General features: G+C 34.6%; 1 protein-coding gene across 2 annotated transcripts in view; it reads right to left on the bottom strand.

Moving 5' to 3' along the window:
* Positions 1 to 19,018, bottom strand: part of LEMD3 (LEM domain containing 3) — a 78,773-nt gene that overhangs the window by 23,097 nt on the left and 36,658 nt on the right. Inside the window, exons 2-4 of one of the 2 annotated variants that reach the window (NM_014319.5) lie at positions 14,296 to 14,333; positions 9,216 to 9,282; positions 6,640 to 6,707 (exon numbers count right to left, since the gene is read on the bottom strand). In NM_014319.5, coding sequence (NP_055134.2) covers positions 6,640 to 6,707; positions 9,216 to 9,282; positions 14,296 to 14,333 — 173 coding nt within the window. The remainder of the gene's footprint in view (positions 1 to 6,639; positions 6,708 to 9,215; positions 9,283 to 14,295; positions 14,334 to 19,018) is intronic. The other variant, NM_001167614.2, reaches the window with a different exon arrangement.

Below are 19,018 nucleotides of genomic sequence, written 5' to 3'. Positions count from 1 at the left end.
CATGGTCAATCAAAGAAACAAAATACACTTCCAAAACATATCCTAAAGAAGTAGAAGTCTAAGAATTACATGACAAAGAATTCAGAAAAAGCCATCATAAAGATACTCAACAAGATCAGGAAAACAATGCATGAATCAAGTAAGAATATCAACAAAGAGACAGAAAATATTTTTAAAACCCAGAAATTTTGGAGCTAAAGAATAACTGAATTTAAGAATTCATTAGAGGGGTTCAAAAGCAGACTGGATCAAACAGAAGAAAGAATCAGCAAACTCAAAAGAAGGTCATTTGGAATTATTCTGTCAGACAAGCAAAATGAAGAAAGGATAAAGACAAGTAAAGAAAGTCTAAGGACCTTAATGGGACACCATTAAGCCAACCAATATAAGTAATATGGAAGTTTCAGAAAGAGAAGAAAGAAACAGGCAAAACAAAACAAAACAAAAACAAAAACACCATGTTATTTGGGGCCCAAAACTCCCCAAACCTGGGGAAGAAAATGGGTATTCAGACTCAAGGAAGCCAATGAATCCTAATGAGGATAGACCAAAATAAGTCCATATTCAGACATGTTATGTTCAAATTGTTGAAAACCAAGGAGAAGAAAGCAGCCAAGACGCAAGCTACTCATCACATACAAGGGAGTCCCCAAAATACTTTACAAAGCAGGAGAGAGTGAAATAACATATTCAAAGTACTGAAAGAAAACAACTGCCAACCAAGAATACTGTGTGTGTGTGTGGTAGGGGGGAGGGGGGAGCAGTACATCGTACTATTAAAAATGGTATACAATTTTTTATTTCTGGAATTTTCCATTTAATATTTTCAGACCATAGTTGACTAGGTGTTACTGAAACTGTGGAAAGCAAAACCATGGATAAAGGGGACTACTACATATCCAGAAAAACCATCCTTCAAAAATGAATAAAGATTTTTTCAGAATAAAAGCCAAGGGAGTTAATCATCACTAGAACTGCCTCACAAGAAATGCTAAAGTGACTCCAAGTTAAATGAAAGGATGCTACCTAGCAATGCAAAAGCATATGAAAATATAAAGCTTGCTGATAAAGGTAAATATATAGACAAAATCAGAATACTGTAACACTGTAATGGTGGTGTGTAAATCACTTAATTGTGATATACAATTTAAAAGACAAAAGTATAAAAAACTTTATAAAAATATGTTGATGATACACAATATGAAAAGATGTAATCTGTGACATCAATAATATAAAGGATGAAGAGAGATATAAAAAAGTAGACACTTTCCATGTGACTAAAGTTAAGGTGTTATCAGGTTAAAATATTACTGTGAATATAAGATAATTTATATAAGCCCCAATAGTAACCACAAATGCCTAAAAAACACACGTAAAAGAAAATGAGAAAGAAATCACAGCTTGTCACTACAAAAAAAAAAAAAAGACACAAAAAAGAGTAAGATATGGAAAAGGGGACAAAAAAGCTACAACACGGAGAGAAAATATTCAACAAAAAAGGCAATATAAGTCCTTTCCTATTAGTAATTACTTTAAATGTAAATGGACTAAACTCCCAAATCAAAGCACACTGAGTGGCTGAATGAATAATTAAAAAAAAAAGCTCCAATTTTATCATGTGTACACCTTAGATTTAAGGACACACACAGGCTGACAGCCAAAAGATGGAAAAAGATATTCCATGCAGATAATAATGAATAAAGAGTAGGGGTAGCCATACTCATATTAGACAAATTTTTGACTTAAAGGCAACGTAGTGAGATCCTGTCTCTACAAAAACTTTAAAAATTAGCCGGGTGTGGTGGCATGTGTCTGTAGCCCCAGCTACTTGGGAGGCTGAGGCAGGAGGATCACTTGAGCCCAGGAGTTTGAGATTGCAGTAAGCTATGATCTCACCACTGCACTCAAGCGTGGGTGACAGGCCTAGACTCTGTCTCAAAAAAAAAAAAAAAAAAAAAATCATCACATGAGACAAGGAAGGATATTTATTATATAAATGACAAAGGGATCAATTCATCTGGAAGATTTAACAATTCTAAATATGTATGTATCCCACATTAGAAGATCAATAAGGGAGCAGAGGACTTGAACAACAATTATAGATCAAATGGATCTAACAGAAATATACAGAAAATTCCACCCAACAGGAGTAGAATACACATTCTTATGAAGTGCACATGGAACATTCTCCAAATCAGATCATATGTTAGGCCACAAAAATCTTAACACATTAAAGACGACCGAAATCATACCAAGTAACTTTTCACACCACAATGAAATGAAACTAAAAATCAAAAGCAGAGAAAAACTGAGAAATTCACAAATATGTGTAAATTAAACAACATTCTCCTAGAACAAGCATTGGATCAAAGCAGAAATCAAAAGAAAAATTATAAATGTATTAAAATAAAAAAATAAAAAACACAACCTAACAAAATTTATGAGAAGCAGTAAAAGCAATACAAGAGAGAGGTTTACAGTGGTAAGCCTATGTTAAGAAAAAAAAATCTCAAATGAGAAATCTAACTTTACATCTCAAAGAACTAAAAAAAGAACATACTAAGCCTAAGATTAGCAGAAGGGAGGAAATAATAAAGATTGGAGCAAAAATAAATTAAATAGAGAATTTAATGAATCAATAAAACTGAGAGTTGATTTTTTGAAAAGATCAAAATTGACAAACCCTTAACTAGACTAAGAAAAAAATCAGAATTCATTTCTGAGTTTATTATCTATTTTATTAAAGAAGAATTAATGCCAATCCTATTCAAATTCTTCTGAAAAATTGAAAAGGATGAAACAATTCCAAACTCATTTTATGAGGCCAGCATTACTCTGACACCAAAGACAATGATACTATAAGAAAATTACAGACTAAAATCCCTGAGATACAAAAATCCTCAAAAAAACACTAGCAAACTGAATTCAAAAGCACATGAAAAGGATCACACACCAGGATCATATACCTCAGACACAAAGATGGTTCAACATACAAAAATCAAAACTGAGTATGCCACATTAATAGAACAAAGGATTAAAATCACATGATCATCTCAATAGATGCAGAAAAAGCATTTGACAAAATTAAATATCCTTTCATGATAAAACCATTCAATAAAGAGGAATAGAAGGAAATTATCTCAACATATTAAAGGCCATACATGGAAACCCTTAGCTAATATCATACTCAATGGTGACAAACTGAAAGATTTTCCTGGCCAGGCATGGTGGCTCACACTTATAATCCCAGCACTTTGGGAGGCCGAGGTGGGTGGATCACGTGAGGTCAGGAGTTCGAGACCAGCCTGGCCAACATGGTGAAACCCCATCTCTACTAACAATACAAAAAAATTAGCCAGGTGTGGTGGCACACACCTGTAATCCCATCTACTCAGGAAGCTGAGACATGTGAATCGCTTGAGCCCAGGAGGTGGAGGTTGTATTGAGCAGAGATCACACCACTGCACTCCAGCCTGGGCGACAGAGTGAGACTCTGTCTCAAGGAAAAAAAAAAAAAAAAAAGAGAGATTTTCCTCTAAGATCAGGAAGAAGGCCAGGGTGGCTATTTTTCCCATCTCTATCTCTCATAGCACTAGACATCCTAGCCAAAGCAATTAGATAAGAAAAAGAAATAAAAAACATCCAAATCAGAAAGAAGTAAATTTATCTCTCTTAGCAAGTGACATAATCTTATACATAGAAAGCCCTAAAGATTTCACCAAAAAAATCTTGTTATTTGGCTGGGTGTGGTGGCTCATGCTTGTAATCCGTGCTTTAGGAGGCCAAGGCAGGAGGATAACTTGAGCCCAGGAGTTTGAGACCAGCCTGGGCAACATAGCAAGGCCCCTATCTCTACTAAAAAGAATCTTGTTAGAATAAACAAATTCAGCTAAGTTGGAAGATATAAAATCAATATACAAAAATCAGTTACATTTCTATACACTAACAACAATCTGAAAAGGAGGTTAAGAAAATAATCCCATTTATAATAGCATTAGAAAGATTTAGATACTTAGGAATAAACTTAACCAGGGAGGTGAAAGACTTATACACTGAAAACTACAAAAAAAAAAAAAAAAGCTGAATGAAATAAAAGACACAAATAAATAGAAAGACATCTCATGTTCGTGAATTGGAAGACTTAATATTACTCAAATTACTATACCACCGAAGGCAATACAGCAATACAAAATCCCAATAGCATTTTTTGCAGAAATAGAAGACATAATCCTAATATCCATATGGAACCACAAAGGCCTCACACTGACTTTAAAACATATGACAAAACTATAGTAATCAAAACAGTATAGTACTAGCATAATAATAGACATAAATGGACCAGTGGAACAAAATAGAGAACCAGAAATAAAGCCACTGATGTATGATCCAACAATCTTCTACAAGGGTGCCAGACTACACAATGGAGAAATGACAATCTCTTCAATAAATGGTGCTAGGAAAACTGGATTTCCACATGCAACAGAATCAAACTGGACCTTTATCTTATACCGTACACAAAAATCAACTCCAAATGGATTAAAGACTTAAATGTAAGACCTGAAACTATATAACTTCTTGAAGAAAACATAGAAGAAAAGCTTCTTGACGTTGATATGGGCAATAATTTCTTGGACATGACACCAAAAGCATAGGCAACAAAAGCAAAAACAGAAAAGTGGGACTACATCAAACTAAAAAGCATATGTGCAGTAAAAAAAAACAGTGAATACAGTGAAAAAGTAACCTACAGAATGGGAGAAAATATTTGCAAACCATATATCTGACAAGGGGTTAATATGCAAAATGCATAAGAAACCCCCACAATTCAATAACAAAATAAATAACCCAACTTAAAAATCAGCAAAGAACTTGAATAGCACTTCTCCAAAGAAGATATACAAATGGCCAACAGATAAGGTATTATATATATGCTGTATACATGCTATATATACACACAGATGTATATGTATATAAATGGTATATGAAAAGATGCTCAACATCAGTAATCATCAGGGAAACACAAATAAAAACACAGTGAGCTATAAGGCAAATAAGTGTTAAGGATAGGCAGAAACTGGAATCCTACTATACTATTGGAAAGAATGTAAAATGGTACAGTCAATATGAAAACAGTATGGAGGTTCCTCAAAAAATAAAAAGTTGAACTACCATATTATCTATCAATCCCACTTCTAGGTATTTGTCTAACAGAATTAAAAGTAGAGTCTCAAAGAAGTACTTGCATTGCCATGTTCATTGATGAATTATTCACAATAGCCAAGAGGTGGAAACAATCTAAAAGCCCATCAACATGACTGGATAAAGAAAATATATGTATACATACAATGAAATTCTACTCAGCCTTAAAAAATGAAGGAAGTACTGTCATGTTACAATATGGATGAAACTTGAAGATATTATGCTAGGTGAAATAAGCCAGTCACAGGACAAAAATTGCAGGATTCAACTTATATGAGGTATCTGTTAATCACACTGATGGAGGAAGAAAGTAAAATGGTGGTTGCCAGGGATATGGAGCAGAGGAAAACGGGGGCCTGCTGTGCAATGGCTATAGAGTTTCAGTCATACAAGATGAAGAAGTTCTAGAGATTTGCTGTATAAGAATGCACATATAGTTGTACGGTATACTTAAAAATATGTTAACAGATTTCACGTTATATATTTTTTACCACAATTTTAACAAGGGGATGGGAGGCATGAAATTTGTATGGCATGACTTGTCCACGTTCAAATGCCAGCCACCTTCCAGGGATCAACGTTTCCATTTGCAAGAACTCAGATCTTTATGAAATTATCTTTATGGAACTGGACCGACAACAAGCTTTCCTGTATGGTTTTCAAATGCCACTTTCCACTTCTGAGAAATCAGAATGACATTTATCCATCTTTAATCTTTTACTACCTTTCATTAAGATTTTCCAGAAATTATTTACAGTAGTTTAGAAAATTCAACAGCAAGTTCTCTTAGTATTTGGAGAAGAAACTGATGTGGGACAGAAGATTTTAAATAAATGGTTAGATATTTACCTGCTCTCTTACATGCTACTACTCACCTATCTCAATTTCCCTATGACCAATGTTTCTTTGTACCCTTTCCAAATTAATATGCATTCTCTCATAGAGAATGTTCTAAAACAAACTAAAAAAAATTGAACAGGTGGCTCACGCCTATAATCCCAGCACTTTGGGAGGCCAAGGCATGCAGATCACTTGAGGCCAGGAGTTTGAGACCAGCCTGGCCAACATAGTGAAACTCCATCTCTACTAAAAATACAAAAAACATTAGCTGGGCGAGGTGGTGGGTGCCTGTAATTCCAGCTACTCGCGAGGCTGAGGCAGGAGAATCGCTTGAACCCCGGTTGCGAACGTTGCAGTGAGTCGAGATCAGCCATTGCACTCCAGCCTGGGGAACAAGAGCGAAACTGTGTCTCACAAAAAAAAAAAAAAAAAAAAAGTTGAACAATTTTACTTTCTCATAACTGCTCATATTATACCAAACAGCAGGCCCAAGCTTTTAACAGTACAATTAAAATAATCAAACATATGATTCTTACAAGTAGCAATGATTTATATAATTTTTTAAAATATAGCTATTAAAATTCTAATTTCATTGCTTACTTTTAAATACGCAGCTGCCTCTTGAACAGAAAGCGTTCTTTGACTAGAACTGCCACATTCATGATCTCCTGGAAAGATTAGCATATTATTAATTTTGAATCAGTACTCTCTTAAACAGAAGAAAACAAACATAATTAATTCAAATATTTTATACATTATACAATTACAGGTTATATTATTATAATCAGTAAAGAAAGAACATGAACAATATTATTTATAATTTCTAGAAGAAATTCCAGTAAGAATATAAACAAAGAAATTCCAGTAAGAATATAAACAAACAACTACCATTACATTAACCACAACTTTTAAATGCATTTCAGTCCAAACAAGAACTTATCTTCCTCTTATATTCCCAACTAAACTGTAAGCTGGTATAGGAACTATGTCACACTGATGCCTATCCACAGATCTTGGCACACAAGACGCCCTCCAGAAATATGTATTATTCCTAAAAGGGAAAAAATTCAGCATATTCATTGTGCTAACTTAACTTACACATCTATTCTTAAAGCTAATCATTTAAGGGTTCAAATAAGTTTGAATTTATTAATGAATTAAAGTATGTGCATTTTCAGAGTATAACTAATCCTATCTTTAGCAAGGGGTGTGCATGCCTTAAAAACTGTTATAACATAACCAGGTGTGGTAGTATGCATCTGTTGTCCCAATTATTCGGGAAGCAGAGGCGAGAAGACAGCTTGACTCCATAAATTTGAAGCTGCAGTGAGCTGTGATCACCCTACTTCACTCCAGCCTGAGTGACAGAAAAGATCCTGTCTCAAAAAAATCTTAAAAAACAAAAATTGTTATAACAGACCAACAGGGAAATCAGGTACAAGTTTCCACCTATGATCTGGTTTCTACAAAGGGATGTGCTCATATAAATCTTTGGAAAACTACATTTATCTTTTCTTTTAATTGTTGATAAGAAGCGAATTCAGGGCTTTTTCTTTAGACTATAAGTGGTTATTAGAAATAAATTATCCTCATATTGAACTCCAATTGTCATGTTTTCCCTTCCCTGTGTCTTTCAAGTAGTTAAAAAGCTTGTTAACATGAAAGTAGAATAATTAAAGTAAAATCCTTGCCAAATGTTTCTAAAATAAAAGCAGCCATGTTCTCATTTCAGTTTTGTTCAAGTAATCATTTTAATGTCAGTAGCTATAAAAAGGGGAGAAGTACCTATCAGATGAACAAGTCTTGAAAGTTTATTAGTGCATCCTCAGAGATTTAGATCCCATAGATTTAGAGCAGAGGTCTGCAAATTACAGCCCATGGGTCAAATCTGGCCTACTCTGGTTTTTATAAATGAAGTTTTACTGGAATACAGCCAAGCTCATTCACTTATGTAGTATTTATGGCTGCTTTCATGGTATAACATAACTGAGTGGTTGTGACAGAGGCAAACTAACCTACAAAGCCTAAAATATCCACTATCTGACCCTTCACAGAAAAAAAGCTTGTTGACCCTTACTCAAGGGGAAGGAATCTGTATCTTTAAAAGCACATCAGATTATGCTGATTTAGCTGGCCATGAACCATACTTGATAAAACAATGCTACAGAGATAGCTGTAGAAGCTTGTGTTAGCAATATCCCTAGCTAGCATAACTAGCATATACTTAACCTATCTCTGGGTGCTACAGCATACCAAATAAATGTCATTAGCTTGAAGTGTGTGAATGACAATCAAAGCAAAGAAGGCTTTTAGCGATATAATACAGAATTAAAAGCTTAAAAAATTGACCAGAATTAAGAACCCAATGTACAAAACAAAGAGAGATCAGAGGATGGGAAACTGTCAGGATCCTAAATACCTCCATTCAACCAGAGAAGTTCCATATTTACCTATAGGCTGCTACCAATAATCTGGTTTACACAAAAGTTCTGCTACATAGAAAAGTTTGAAAACTGCATTTTTCTTTTCTTATGCCTGCTTACAAGAATCCAAGTCTCTTCTTTCAGATTATATGTTTAAAAAAAAAAAAGAACTAAAAAAAGGTAATAGATAAGCTGCTACTGCAGTTTACATGTGCTAAACTTGATACTAATTAATCTATAATAAATTATTCCCATTTCGGACAAGTTGACTACCTTAGAGCTCTCAAAGAATTACTAAGAGCAGACTATGAGGAAAATGCAATTAATCCGGAGAGAAAATTACAGGAGAATAAATTTACTTTATCAAACAGAATGATACCTATACAACCAACAAAAGAAAATCTGCATTTGTATATTTAATCCAAGATTTTAGTTAATTCACTGCTTACCTAATTCCTCTGATACTTAAGCTTTCCAGATTTTTTGTTACCACTGATGCAATAAAGAAATTTGATCAACTTTATAACTATATTATATATATATATTACCTCTAATACAGATGGCAGGCAGGAAAAAAGCCTTCATTAAATACATATGTAAAAATCAAAAATCACTCTGTATAGGTAATGAAAACTTCTAAAGAAAAATATTTCACAAATATAACACTGGACTTGGAAAAATATTTTCTACTAATAACATGCTACATACATTTTTCAAAACATTTTTAGCAACTATAAAAGTTAAAACAATTACCTGCAAGCTGTGCCAATCGATCATGAAGCTTATATAATGTGTTCATCATAAGAGTTTTTTCACTTTCCTAAAATTAAGAGAAGTTATTATGAAATACCCAATTACAAGAAAAAAAACACCAAATAATTCTTAATCAAAAAAAAAAAAACAGTAAATTTAAAATCACAGAAGCCACATAATCTGAAAGACAAATTCACATTTAAGTAATGGGCACCATATTTTTAAGAAACCTTAATCTAAGACTCTAAATTATTACTCTAAATATTTCACTTTCTGGAGAACGATTTAAAAATTGGCATAAGGTTAGTGCTAAAAAAAAGGTCTCACAGACAATAAACTCCATCAATCACCAAAGCAATGTTCCCAATCCCCCTCTGCACAGTGTATTCTTATGTAAACTGTTCATATGAGACTGTTTTCTTCATCAAGGCTGCCCTTCATGTCTTGTTTTAATCTAACTCAACCACATAAAACTAAGGGAATGAGTACTGGCACGTTGACTGATACTCAGTCCTCTCCTAGGCTCCCAAGGTGCCCCTGTATAAACTTATGAACTGTTAAAATGAAACAAACATTAAATAAACATCTACTAGGAGTTAAGAACTGTTCTCTCAGCAAAGCGAGAGACCCAGTGAACAAGATGGTTCCTGTACTCAAGGGCAAAAAACATATTAAATGTTATACAACTGCAGAGTAATACAGAAGATTCTCTTCCCTCCTTCTTCTGTAAATATAGAAGGAGGGAAGGAGGGAACAGAATTTATGGAACAGAATATTTGAGTTTGATTTAAAAGGAAAAACTAACAGATCAGCATCCTAGGCAATGGGAAAGACCCTGAGCAAGGGCATGAAGGCATGAAAGCATTGGTTATATTTCTTACATAACCAGTAGCCCTTGTTTGATTCTGCAAACTACTAGAAAAGTTGTTTAGTATTAACTACCAGACAGCCTTGGATAGCAAGACAGAGAGTTTGACTTCATTCTGAAAATTTAGCAGGAGAGTAAAACAGACTTGTGCATCAGGAATACTACCCGGGCCAGAATGTACAATGTATAGGCTGGCTCGGAAGCAGAAATAATTGTATGAAAAGAGTCCAGATAGAGAATTATTGCAATGGTACAGCCTAAGTACCTGCCAAGTAGTCTAAAGCAACAAGACCTCCAATTTAAGAGCAATTACGATCAGGAGGGATCGACATAAATGATGGAGGGTAGGGTGGGGAGGGGGTAATAGCTTATTGCACTACCTAAAATAAGTCCATGATTTATCAGGGGGCTCTGTCTTTATTACTTTCTTTCTTCCTGAAGTTTCCAACAAAACAGATTTACTGGATGAACAGATCATGGAGCAAATTGAAGCAAGATATAAAAGACTGGAAAAGTAACATTTATATGTCTAATAACATGCAACCTCATCCATTTATTTTGTGGTGTATGTGCAGGGACAGAAGAGAACATGTTTGCACACTATGGGTGGCATGCTTTTGTCATTGCAGCTTTAATCGGTTATACTAAGAGGAAAACTCATCAAAAGTGCCAAGATCCTACCACCAGAATACCTGGTTTTATGTCAGACGGTTGACTGAGATAAGTTACTTATTCATTCAGTTTACTACTTGCCTTCCTACGTATATATATATATTTTTGCCTCAATTTTATCTTAATCAGATTCTGAATCAAGCCAGTCCTTATCTTCACATAAGATCAAAAATTCAAACTGCAAAATTAGACATCAAAAAGTAACAGTAGGCTGGGTGTGGTGGCTCATGCCTGTAATCTCAGCACTTTGGGAGGCCGAGGAGGGTGGAACATGAGCTGAGCGTGGTGGCATGCACCTGTAGTCCCAGCTACTTGGGAGGCTGAGGCAGGAGAATCACTTGAACCCAGGAGGTGGAGGTTGCAGTGAGCGGAGGTCATGCCACTGTACTCCAGCCTGGTGACAGAGCGAGAATCCATCTCAAAAAAAAAGTAAGAGCAGGGCTGAAACAGGATTCTGAAACCTAAGCATTTGTGATACATTAAACCACAAAATCATTTTTAATAAATATCTTCAACATAATAGGATGAGTAGGTGTTCCAATGACAGTGTAGCTTATGGATGTGACACATAAAAACCAAGGTGAATCTAGTTAAGTTTTGGGATTAAAGCAATGGAAAGTTTTGTGTTTCTTTTCCTCTCATCTGGAAAAGAGACTTATTTTCTTTTTGTTTTATATGTACTATCATACCCTTCCTCACTCCCCTTTCAAAAACAAAACAAAATTTGAACATTGGCATCTGTCCTCTGATTACATCTTTAATAAACATAAGAGGGACCTGCGAATAAACTTTAGCTTTTGATTCACAGATACTAAACATTGGACTAGATAAATAGAAGTAACAACACTTAACCAGATGGAACTGATCTCATACTGGATGACATACATACTGTTACATTCTCATACAAATAACTTAAGAACTCAGAAAGCTCAACTATAGTTTTTTACAAGAATTATCTTTCCAATGAAAATTTATTTAAGGCCGGGTGCGGTGGCTCACACCTGAAATCCCAAGTTTGGGAGGCTGAGCCAGGAGAATTGCTTGAGCTCAGGAATTTGAGACCAGCCTGGGCAATGTGGCAAAACCCCATCTCTACAAAAAAATACAAAATTTAGCTGGGTGTGGTGGTATGCACCTGTAGTCCCAGCTCCTCAGGAGACTGAGGTGGGAGGATAACTTGAGCCCAGGAGGTTGAGGCTGCAGTGAGTCGTGATCATGCCACTGCACTCCAGCCTGGGTGATAAAAATGAGACCTTGTCTCAAAAAAACAAACAAACAAACAAACAGTTTAAATGACCGTCTATATACTAGAAGGGCCTCAACTGCTATCCAAATGACCAACTAAATTATAATCTAAGTAGGTGTTTATGAGATATACTATTTACTTTATCTATCTATCTATCTATCTATCTATCTTTACAGTCTTGCTCTGTCACTCAGGCTGTGGCAGAGTGCAGTGGCATGATGATACATGCTATTAAGTGAATGAACACATTTTGAGAAAGAAACAAAGGTTTTGGTTCAGTTATCTTTAGTACAAGTACACTAAACTAGCAGTAAATCTGAAAAGTATACAAATCAACTTTTAAACTTACTTACTGGTTTACAGTTTGATTACACTCTTCTTCCATTTTGACTGCTTTTCAGATTGTCTCCTAATATTTCAGCTTAAATGTCTAACTACTGGCTTCCCTAATAATTCTGCAAACTAGTTAAAGTTCCACAAGTAAATACATAAAATAAGCTTTCAAATAATCTTTCATTAAATAAAGGCAATTTTGTAATTTGAATTAGCTACTTTCTAATTGTGTTTTAGTAAGGCCCAGACTATTGTTTTTCATTTTGGAGGGAGAAAAATCTATAGGGTGACTCTATCCAATTTTCTCATATATTGTCACCATTAAATATTTCCCTCCTCAATCCTCAGCCAATTTTCTCTTCAAGGAATTTTTTTTTTTTTTTTTTTTGAGATGGAGTCTCACTCTGTAGCCCAGGCTGGAGTACAGTGGCACAATCTTGGCTCACTGCAAGCTCCGCCTCCCGGGTTCAGGCCATTCTCCTGCCTCAGCCTCCCGAGTAGCTGGGACTACAGGCGCCTGCCACCACGCCCGGACTCTTCAAGGATATTTTAAACTGTTTGCCTTATGCCTTTGATTAAATAATAATGAATTTTAACACTTGTGATATGGTTTGGCTCTGTGTCCCCACCCAAATCTTACCTTGAATTGTAATAATCCCCACGTGTTGTGGGAGGCAGTGGTGGGAGGTAATTGAATCATGCATGGGGTGGGTTTTTTTCCCCATGCTATTCTCGTGATGAATAGTGAATAAGTCTCGTGAGATCTGATGGTTTTATAAAGTGGAGTTGCCCTGCATATATTCTGTTGCCTGCCACCAGGTAAGACATGACTTTCACCTTCCGCCACGACTGTGAGGCCTCCCCAGCCGAACTGTGAGTCAATTAAACCTCTTTCCTTTATAAATTACCCAGTCTCGGTATGTCTTTATTAGCAGCATGAGAACAGACTAATACAACTTGGCAAGGGGCCCTGTACAGAATGAGCATTTAATATAAGTAAACAGCCACTATCTTCATTATAATTGTTACTATTATTCAGAAGTTCAGAATTTCAGTTTCTTCCTTGGGGAAAATTAAACAGAAGAAAATAGTCTTCTATTTCTAATGTTCAGTAAGTATACTGTACCAAATTTAAATTATGACACTGTAGCAGTGTTATACTTAAGGCAACTGAAAAAGCCAACTTTGTTTTAAACAATTATCACTGCAATAGAATATTACTAATCATTTCAGAGTTCCACTTTAACAACAGAAAGTAATATTCTATGGATGTGATTACACATTATTACACATCCTTCAGTACAACAAATAATGTTTTCTATACAGGTCTATATAACAGTTCCTATAATAAAAAATTAATAACTAATTACAAGCTTAAACATCTTAATCTCTGAAGTCCCTGTAATGATGGGTAAGTGAAAAATATTTTTATATAAGTAAAATTTAGGTTAAAATTAGTATTATAGCACTCTTTAAAAAATTAAAGAAATAGCCTGAAGGATATGCTTCCTTTCTAAGTCCTTTTGATGGTCGAATAGGCATGCCAATATGCAGAAGATCCAAAGAGGTAAAATGAGGGCAAAACGGACAAAAACTGCTAAGGTATCCAACAACTACAGGCAACAGGCATACTTCTAAGTGTAAGACAAGATCCACTGATGATATGCCACTCCCATTTTACTTGGCAGTAGTCTTTTACAGTAAAGTGATAAACAGTTCAGCTCTTAAGAGAAAATCTGTGTCAGATTTAATTATACGACAGTTAGGGAATACTCAGAATAAGAAAGCCTATTGTTTTAGACTAAAATAACCTTAAAATTACTATTTTTTTAAGTTGATAAAACCTATTGTTTAAGACTAAAATAACTTTAAAATTACTTTTTTTTAGTTGATAGTCATTCTCATGCTTTTATCATATAAAACATGACACAAAATTATCAGTATTATGATCGTTTACTTACTTGTATTTTTCCAAATGTTTCACCAAAGGGGTTTTCTACTATCAAGGAAGGAAAAAAAGACAAGTATTAGCATCACTTACGAATTAAAATCCCCCAAACAAACTCTCTGAAATGCCAGCATGTACTTTGCTAAAACTGGATATAAATATGTGAACCAAATGTAAACAAACTGGTGATAATAAAGGTTAGGGAAGTAATTTTTCAGACTTATACTTATCATTCTCACTTTGAATTAGTGGTTTTCCTCACAATCATTGAGATCAGGTGCTCTGGTATCACAGAAGCTGAGTTCAAGTCCCAGCTCCACCTCTACCACTTATTAGTAATGTCTCTTTGAACTAACATCTAATTAGCTACTCTAAATTGTAGTTTCTTCTTTAAAGGAGTATGGATAACAATGATACCTACCTTATACAGTTGTTGTCAGGATTAAATGAGATAAACAAGATAAAATGTTTGACACAGTGTCAAGCACTTAATATGTACTCAATACACACTATCCATTATTATTACTGCTAATGACTATATCATTTGTTTCTACCTTAATTTGATTTCTCTTCATAATATAGACTAAGAAGCAGTTAACTACTGAAAGAAATCTACAAGATGCTTTAAAACTGAATAATTCATTTAGAATTCTGACTTCTAATGATTTTTTAAAAATCCACCTTCCTAATCCTTGCCAACATCTGAAAAAGTGGCAAGAAAAAAAAATACAGATCAAAGTAACTAAGAATTAAGTCTCAGTATTAAGCAATTCCAAATTTACAATAAAATATTACATAATAAGGAAAGGATTTACCACTTTCCATCCAACCCCTATGCCCCTCCTTCATTCACCTCTAAATTAAGATACAAAAATGTTTACGGCTGAATATGTAGCACCTCTCAGGGTTTTTATTCAGAGTCTTCTCCTTATCATTTTGTTTATTTTGATATTACATACGAAAATATTCAAAGCTTTCAGATACCTGTAAACTTTTATATTTTATATAGACTATATATCTATATAATCCAGGCCACAACTAAGACTAACTAAGACTAACTGATCTTACAAAGTAGTTCACACTGACCAGGTTTCCTTTCTGAGATGCTTTTCTATTTTTATTTGAGAAAACAGGAAGTCCCATAGGAACCAGGAACTGCCTGATTCTAAGAAAGTTCATGTGAGACCAGCTTAACAAGGTACAATAAAAGAGCAAGGAAAAAAAAATGTATCCTGTTATCATCATAAGGGATTTTGCTAATGGATTTTTAAACGACATTTCTCTATACATCAAAAGGGTTTTAATGTTGGGAAAGAAAATGTTTTGAAAGATATTACAGAAAATCAAAAGTACTCAAAAGGGGAATAGGGAGAAGAAATAATATAGCTTCAAGATTAAATAAAATGTTAAGGATCAGAACACATGGACTAAAAAGATACCCTTTTTAATAATATTAATTTTTCAATATAAACATTGAACAGCTATATTTAGCTCAACGTACTACCAAAAAAATGCCTTGTCATTTGGCCAAACAAATGACAATAAATTAGCCAAACAATACAAAGTGTAAAAGGTGTTTTATTTGCTCTTTATAAGAACAATTCTTAAAAATATAAGTGTGCAGTTCCAAAAACAAGTTTTAATGTCTATGAAAAAAAGCTATGCTAGTATTGCTTTTTTGATTATACACAAAATTACTTTTTGTCAAGACTATCAAATGGAAAATCAGCTCTGTGAGTAGCTCCATAAAAGCATAACTGTAAATTATCAATGTTCACCACACTGCTCTACTGTGGGCTTCTCAAGACAGGGAGCGTGTGTTATACACATGTGCATGCCCAGAACCAAGCATAGTACTAGATATATAGTTAGTGCTTGAAAAATGCTTGTTGTGCTATCTCGGCACTCTTCTTTATTTCACTTTGTGTGTTAACACTGAAGCAAAAGTGTTCAATTTTGCAGGATGCTGGAGGAGGGTATGTTCTGAGCTACTAAAAAGGGAGAGGGATAGGGTAACAGAGAAAGCTGAAGAGGGGGAAAACAATTTTGCTGAAAATATTGCTCTACCCCTAGTATCCTTCTAGATTTCTGCCTCTTGCCTTGTAGTCTAAAATACCTGGAGTATAACATACCTAAAAAAGCCAAGAGTATACTTTCTGCCCAACAAAACTTCGTTAAAATTTTTTTCCCCAAATGCTCATGATAATTGCCACCTATTAAATGAACAGAGACCTATTAACAACAGCAGAAGTAAAACATATCCTTGGGGTTAAGTTTTTACAAGAAAACACCAACCAAAAACAGCAACTCTAACAAATTAAAAGCCCTCAAAGTTTTCAAAGTATCTTTATACATTTTTTCTTTCCCCAAATCATTTCAGTATTTCTAAAAACACACCAATATCTTCTATCACATCCAAATTACCTAGTCTTTAATGGAAACAACATATACTGTTACCCCTAGTGAAAATATATAACACCCTCTCCCAATTAGGTAACCGAAGAGAAGAAACCTTGTTTCAAAAGCATCCCACAGCAAAAATTTGCCACTTCATTCTTTATTCAGTCACTAGAAAACTAGGGAGGGACCTGAGAGTGAATTACAGCTCTTATCCCTTATCCTAGAGCAATGATAATACCAAGACGGTACTTCAAAATTTACTCTTCCATCCCCTAAAGGCAGAGCCTTGCAGCCATTTTTGATCTGTTGTCCTCCTTTAACCCTACACTCCCAACAGCCTCTCACTATTGCTTTTTTGGACATTTCTTCTTCAATACTTTAGTTCAGATTATTTCAAGCCTCAAATATACCAAGCTTTTCTTTGTAAAGGTCCTTAATATTTTGACTTCTTTTCCCTTTAAACTATTCTACTAACTGTAAAAATCAAATTCCTTAAATGTTTCATTAGAATCCTCAAAATTTTCCAATGGTTCCTAATCACACCTTGTTGCAAGGAACAAATTATCTTGTGATAATTTCTTATAAGACACACAATGCTTCTCCTCCAAATCCCTCCCTTCCTCTACCCCCACCAATTCCAAAAATGTTACTAGTTTTACTGATCTTTTCTCAAATGTAAACTGTTTTCCATTCTCTTACACAGAAATAAAGTTTATCATGTTATGAATTCTCAGATAAAAAGGAAAAACTTGCAAACACATCTATACGTTTATAAACTTCAAAGTATATGCTTTGCTAGTTTAAGAGTCCTAAGCATTTGGAGAATAAAGGATATGCTATTTATGAGTCAGGAAAACAGGCAATAGTATATTCAGGATGCTTTCCTACGCTTTCTTTGGATCAACACAGCCAGCTTCAGTCTAATATGACAATTTTTTGTTCTGTATACATGGAACCACTGTCAATTACAGCACACAAAAATATTCTCTCAGAAGACTGAGCACTTGCTCTTTCTGGTCTTCTTTAGGCCTGAATGTTTTTCTTCTCCAATTTGCCTTGAAGGTTCAGTTCGCAGCTATGCTACCACCATGAAGGATGCCTAATCACTGCAGTTTATCGTGACCTCCTTCTCAGAATCCCCCTTCTCAGAATCTCAGTAATGTACTACCTTTTATCATGATTTCAATATTTGGTGTTCTACTCCTCACCCCCACCCCCAACAAGACTGCAATATCGCCACATATCTCAATGCCTTTGCAGATACTGTGTACTATGCACATGCTGAACAAATAGAAACTTGAGGGCATACTATGGTCTCCTAGAATAGCAGCTTCATCAATGCCAGAAAAAGTACTATAGTCTTGATTACTACAACCCTCTCCGTTGAATAAAAAGGAAATTATGTTTACTGAGTTCCTAATACGCGCCAGGAATAATGCTGCTGCCATGTACTCAAGAGGTACCTCATTTCATCCTCATAACACTACCGTTTAGAGTGGTATTAGCCCTATTTTTGCAGACAGAAATATTGAGACATGTTGAGGTTAAGTTGCTTCCTTGAGGTAAACAATTTAGTAAGTTGGGATTAAAAAATATGAGATTCAAACCTATTTATGTCTGACTCCAAAGCATACATAACTCTCATCATAGAAATAACTACAGAAAATAAAATATTGGTTTTATATAAAGAAAGCATGCTCTAAAACTTTCCAATTTTGAATCATTAATTTGGTTATTATATAATGCATCAAAAATGACAAAAATGGGGATATGGAGGGAAAACACTGCTGTTGGAAAATACATTATTTTCTCTTAGATGAGGAAAAAAATTCTCTTCAAAACAAATTCTCCAATTGTAGTCTAGGGAAGTATTTTCCGTGATACATAAAAATATAAAGTATCCCGTGATTTCCATGGACATGATTATTCACTCTCCCCTTCTCTCTCAGGCCATGGCACTCTGTTCATGACTACTATAGAGTGTACCACATGGCATCAGTTTAAAAAAATTATAATTTCTGATTTAGTACCATACTAAAAGATATTTTCATTTGGCTTCATCTTCCAACATAAAATATTCGCAAACATATAAAGTGCCTACTTGTCCAGGTGTTATGTTAGTTACAAGAGATTTAAAAATAAATATATATAAGCCCTGTCCTCAAAGACAGTTCAGTCCTGGAGGGCAGCAATTCTACAGACAGGAGTTTTAAAGGCAGTCTCTTGTATCTAAAACTCCATGACCTTAAGGCTAGTGTGACCTTAAGGACAGTTTTAATAAATTCATCTAGGCAGTTACATTCAGATGCCTGAATGAGCAGTTATTTCTCTGTATT

This window comes from Homo sapiens, chromosome 12, assembly GCF_000001405.40.
Source record: "Homo sapiens chromosome 12, GRCh38.p14 Primary Assembly".
Classification (NCBI taxonomy): Eukaryota; Metazoa; Chordata; class Mammalia; order Primates; family Hominidae; genus Homo; species Homo sapiens.
This window is presented reverse-complemented; position numbering and strand designations above follow the sequence as displayed.